Source organism: Homo sapiens, chromosome 8 (assembly GCF_000001405.40).
Source record: "Homo sapiens chromosome 8, GRCh38.p14 Primary Assembly".
Lineage (NCBI taxonomy): Eukaryota > Metazoa > Chordata > Mammalia > Primates > Hominidae > Homo > Homo sapiens.
In genome coordinates, this window is record NC_000008.11 from 142167009 (window position 1) to 142173008 (window position 6000).

The 6000-nt window shown below is 59.8% G+C and overlaps 1 annotated feature.

Annotated features, from left to right (window-relative positions):
* Positions 3715-4615: an enhancer, noted in NCBI's record as "H3K4me1 hESC enhancer chr8:143252084-143252984 (GRCh37/hg19 assembly coordinates)". NCBI's record gives its function as "activates a minimal SCP1, AML or CMV promoter by ChIP-STARR-seq in naive H9 embryonic stem cells {active_cell/tissue: H9 hESC(naive)}" and the evidence as "EXISTENCE:reporter gene assay evidence [ECO:0000049][PMID:30033119]".

The following is a 6000-nucleotide window of genomic DNA, read 5'->3' on the forward strand; positions in this document are numbered from 1 at the left end:
CACAGATACCAAGGGGATGCTTATATTAAGGAATGGGGGGGTCGAATGAGCAGACCCTGCCCAGGAGAGGAGACACGGTGGGGTGGCGGCTTCATCAAGGCGGGCCATAGGGAAGCAGGCGGTGGGAGCAGAAGTGCCAGGCAGATGGCGGGAGCGGGCAGGAGGCAAGAGAGAGGCCGGCAGTGAGCAGTGCCCACCACTCACCCCAGGCGCCCCTGCTCTGCCTTGTGCCCAGAGCCCCACGCTGGCCCAGGCCTGTGCTGCAGTCGGTGTGGGGACACCTCCATTTTCAAGGACACCTACAGGACACAGGTCTGCCTCCCCCATCAGCCTGTGAGTTCTGAGGGCAGAGGCACCTTCCTGGCCTCCATGCCTGGGGGACCTGTCAAACTGTTGGGCCCCAAGGCAAACAGAGACAGACAGGGTCCCAGCCCTGGCTTCTACCCCGTGGGGGACTCCTTTCCCCAGCAGAGACCCTGCCCAGAACCAACTATGCTGTTTCCAGATGACCTGGGCTCAGGCCAGCAGCAGCCTCTCCACCTTGGCCACCACCGGGGAGAAGGGTGGGTGGGTGGGACCAGGACCCCAGAAGCTGGGCTCCTGCCTGGGAGCAGCTGTCCCCTCTCCCAGAGTTCCCTTCTGATGTTTGATTCCCACCTCCCAGCCCCTCAGAGATTTATGCAAATCCCAGCTGCCAGATGGTTCCTTAATGTCAAACACAGGTAGGAAGAATGTCAGCCTTGGTCTCAGCTTCAGTCAGTAGCCACACTTGATGGATAGTCTATACTTTCCTCTGAAGCTAGAGGAGTCAGCTTGTCCAGCCCATTGCTCAATAAATCCTTCCTCCCTCTGCACCTGCCCGGTTTGTCCCTGTCCCCCTGGTTTGATCACAGCTGCAGGGCCCTTAATCCTCCCCCAACGCACTCAAAGCTTCTGTGAGGCCAGGGACCAGGTGGACACACTTGGATCAATGGCAGCCCCCTCGCTGTCACCTCGTCACCTCCTCACCATCCCTACCATCCTCATCATCAGCACCGCCACCTGAGTCACCCCTCCCTCCCCTCTTACCACGGCCACAGTGTCATCCCCCCCACCATCACCCCGGCCCACCACAACCACTGCCACCACATGGGCAGGGCCCCAGGGCCCACCCCTGCACCCCAGCTCACCGTTAGAGGGAAGGGCCAAAAGGAACCTGGCAGACAGTCCAACAGGGAAACAACAGGCACAATTTAGAAAGGGACAAAGGACTTGACTAGACCTTTCTCCAGAGAGATGCACATGTGGCCAGCGTGCAGGTGGGAAGACACCCGACATCACTAAGCACAGGGAAATGCAGATCGAACCACAGTGAGACGCCACTCACACCCACTGGGACGGCTACCAACAAAAAACAGACAGCAGCAAGTGTCGGCGAGGATGTGGAGAAATTAGAAGCCTTGTGCACTGCCAGTTGGAATGAAAAATGGTGCAGCCACTGTAGAAAACGGCATGGCAGTTCCTCAAAACCATTCAACACAGAATCCCCTTACGCCCCAGCAGTCCCACTTCCAGATGTACACCCAAAAGCATGGGAAGCAGAGACTCAAACAACATTCATGGCACATGATTCGCAACCGTCAAAGCGGGAGCAACCCAGGTCTCCATCCACACACAAAGGGATCAGCAAAATGTGGGATACATGGACAGCGAGCATCATTCAGCCTTCAGAAAGGGAAATTCCGACCCCGCGCCGACGTGCATGAACCGGGAGGACATTGTGCTGAGTGACATAAGCGGGACACAAGGACAAATGTGGTGTGATTCCTGGCATCGAGGCTTCCCAGAGTCGTCAAAGTCAATAGAGACAGAGGACCATGGCGGGACCAGGGCTGGCGGTGGGGGAACAGGCAGTTGGTGTTGAGTGGGGCAAAGTTTCAGTTTTACAAGATGAGAAGTGTCTGGAGGTGGACGGTGGAGGCGGTGGCGCAGTGATGACGGTGTGCTGGGCACTATCTACCACTCTGTACGCAGAAAAAGGCTTAAGGTGGTAACTTAAGATACGTACTTTGCACAATTTAAAGAGAGAATCCGCCCACTGTGACTTTAGCACACGAGTGCACTCACGTAAATTACAAGTAAAACCTAAATGAACTTCCAGGGTCAGCAGCAAAGGGAAGCACCGGGGGTCCGTGGGAAAGAGGAGTGGGTGTGCCTGCCCCTTAGCCAGGCCAAGGCCCCCCAGAGCAGGCAGGTGGGAAGGGAGACACAGCCCCACCGCCCTGGCCTGCCGACGGATTTGCTGAGCCTGTCTTAGAAAGTCCATAGCAGGGAAGCTGGGGGCCTGTGGGGAGCCCACAGCACCTGCCCACACGTGAGCTGACAGTTAGCCAGAGGCCTCCCTGGTGCTAAGCGGCCCTGCGTGGTACCTTCCAGCGGCAGGGCTGAATCAGGTCAGATAGTGGTGGCATGGACAGGCCCAGGGAGAGAACACACCCAGATGGACACAGTGCTCCCGATGGACGGATGGCACTTTGCCCACTTAGTCCGAGGCCCCTCTCCTCAGCAGGCCCTTCCTCAAGGTCCCCACCCTCCCTGGAGAGGGGACCAGCACTGCCACCCCATTCCACCAGAGAGATATCCTCTCCAGACACCCTCAACATGGAGGGAGAGGGGAGCGAATTCACCCCCAGGGGCCTGACACATTCAACATGGAGGGAGAGGGGAGCGAATTCACCCCGGGGGCCTGACACCCTCAACATGGAGGGAGAGGGGAGCGAATTCACCCCCGAGGGCCTGACACCCTCAGCATGGAGGGAGAGGGGAGCGAATTCACCCCCGGGGGCCTGACACCCTCAGCATGGAGGGAGAGGGGAGCGAATTCACCCCCGGGGGCCTGACACCCTCAGCATGGAGGGAGAGGGGAGCGAATTCACCCCCGGGGGCCTGACACCCTCAACATGGAGGGAGAGGGGAGCGAACTCACCCCCAGGGGCCAGACACCCTCAACATGAAGAGGGGAGTGAATTCACCCCGGGGGCCTGAGCAGCTGCTGGGTTCCTGCTGCCACAGCTCAGGGGCTCTCTGCCCTTTCTAGAGCCCCTCCTTCTGGCTCCCCTCAATTCCTCGAGCTAGTCAGAGCTGCCCATTTCCTTCCCTCTCTGCACAGAAAAGGGTTTTCTGTTGTTTGCACTCACCAGACCGGATCCATGAAGCATCTGGAGGACATGGAGAGGGTGTGGCATGGCCAGTCTCACTAGGTGTCCATGTGCCAATGCCCTGTAACCAGCGCCCCAGGCCAGGCCTGAGCGCTACGGGAGATCCAGGAGAAAGGGATGTGTGCCAGCGTGGCCAGGAGGGCTTCCTGGAGGAGGAGGGCCCTCAGCTGTGCCCTGCCGGCCACGCAGCAGGCCCCCTGGTGACAAGCCACACCTTGCTTAGCTCAGCGCTCCGGCATGTGATCAGCACCTGGCAAGCCTTACTCCAGTGGACGGGGCTCCCTTGGGGGGAAAGGGCTCTGAAGGCCACCACGCCACCCATGTCTCCCCACGGAAGTCTCCATCGAGCCCCTTGGCGGCCCCCCTAGAGAGGGGGACATCAAAAACTGCTTCAGTTCCTCGCTGGAGGGCTGTCCCCTCCCTCCAGGACCACCATGGCTGGCCACAGGTAAGCCCACAAGTGACTCGCTTGTGCCGTGCATCCCAGAAAAGACAGCGCCACGTGCAAGCCCAGGTGTCCCCTCTCCATCCTGCAGGCCTTCTGTCCAGGGAGGGCAGGGACCTTGATGAAGGGCCACAGATGAGAGGGGCGTGGGCCTGGGCAGGCAAAGCACCATTGTCCATTGGGAGCCCTGCATCAGTCTGGGTGTGATCTCTCCCTGGACACTTCCACGCCACCACTGTCTGCCAACCCCTCAGGTCCAACCATGCCGCCTGGGTCCAGACACGGTTCTCCAATCCTGATGAAGGATGCCTCTTCCGGGAAGCCCTCACCGGTGCTGTGTCCCTGCATCTGTGAGGACGAGGCTGTCTGGCACTGTCCACTCTCCAGAGCTGCCGTTGGCCCACATCCCATGTCAGCTGCGAGGTCAAGCTGAGACCTCCCCTATAAAACGGGAGTAGTAGCATCCGTGCTTGAGGGTCCGGGGGGATGAGCTCAGCAGACATGAATCCCATTCGGCATCTGAGGTAGAGGTGCCGTGGGGCAGAGCCTGGGGGACAGGCCCTGGGGTGCTGACCAGGGAGTGGAGACTTGGTCTGTTAGCAATAAGGAGTCATGGAGGGCGTTGGAGCTGGGGAGAGACACAGCAGCCTCTTCTCCAAACCCTCCTGCAGCTGCAGCCCCTGTAGCCTTTCTCACCTGACAGCTCCAGGCCCGAGCCACATGCAGTCCCTTTCTGGGGTAGGGATGAGCACCCCTGATTTAGCCCTCTCGGAGCACACAGTGAGGGTGACGGGCATAGTCCCCATGGCCAGGGCCTGGGGGGCAGCTGGTTGCCGGGCTTCCCTAAGCCTGGGTTTTCTCGCCTGTGTCTCGGGAAGCACTAGCCACCCTCCCCACTCTCCTTCACAGCCTTCCTCCCCATCTGAAGCCCAGGAAGCTTCCAGAACAGGCATATGGCCTGCTGGGGTGGCAGACGCCTGCCATCAGGGGACGCCCAGGTGTCGCCCTCCATAATGGAATCCCTCCGCTTTTCCAGGGCTGTCAAAGGCTGGCCAGCCCCCAGCACCCACAGAGGGCACGCCGCTCAGCGAGGGAGGAGGAGCAGAGCTAGCAACCCTCACCCTGGGCCCCTGATAATGAGGAATAAGAGGAGGCAGAGGGGCCAGACGCTCGCTGGGGATGCCAGGTGGGATCTTGGTGGGGATTCTTCAGTAAGAGGCCGCGCCGGTGCATATCATTGCGATTCAGAACCTGGCTCCGGAACAATCAAGGTTCATCAGGAACAATGCATGCAAATTCCTCAAATGACTCAGAAGGGTGAGGGTGGAGGCTCTGCAGGGGGGGAGAGGCCTGCCCAGATCTGCCCCGGGAAGCCCAGCTGACCCACGGCCACCCACACAGTGTACCCAGCTGGGGCACCCACAGGCTGGCTGGGCCACCCTCTTCTCAGGACGCCCCTGCGTTCCCAGGGTGAGTCCTCGCCTTGGGCCCAGAGCGGCTGGCAGCACTCCACCTTCCTCCCACATAAAGAGGCCTGGGTTCCAGACCCACTGCTCTGATCCCCATGGAGGATGCCTCCTCTGGGAAGCCCTCACCCATGCTGTGTCCCTGTGTCTGTGAGGATGAGGCTGTCTGGCACTGTCCACTCTCCTGAGCCACTGTTGGCCCATTTGCCGCGTCTGCTGGTCAGTAAACCCAAAAGGGCAGGAGCCCTCACTGCTCGCCCCAGGGGTCCCTGTGCCCAGGGCGATGCCTGCACATCAGGGCGGCTCCACGCACACTAAGGGAGTGAGCAAGGGAGCGAAGGAGAAAGACCTTTGAGAAATTGGGTGAATCATTCATCGAATCCCAAAGCTGGCAGGTGAAAGAGGTAATAATGCACCTGTGTTGTAGGTGGGGAAACTGAGGCCTGAAGCATGGGGTCTGGGTTCAGGGAGGCAGCACGTTCACTGGAAACTGCACCTGCATCCAGTCCTGCCTCCTAACTCAGCAGCCCTGGTCACTTCTCTTCCTGAGACCACCCTCTACCCATAACGGGCAACATGACTGCTGGGGGGAGGCTGTGCCCACCATGCTCAACAAACTCCAAGGCTGCAGCCTCCTCCCCAGTCCCTCAGAATGTGACTGCATTTGGAGCTGGGGTCTTTACAGAGGTACTTAGGTTAAAATGAGGTCATACAGGGGTCAGAGGGGCCTAACCCAATCCGACCACGGTCCTCATAAGGACAGGAGATGAGGACACACATGCAGAGACGACCGTGTGAGGATTCAGGGAGAAGACGTGGTCCACACGCCAAGGAGAGAGGCCCCAGGAGGAACCAGCCCTGCCAGTGCCGTGATGCCGGACTTGCCGGCTCC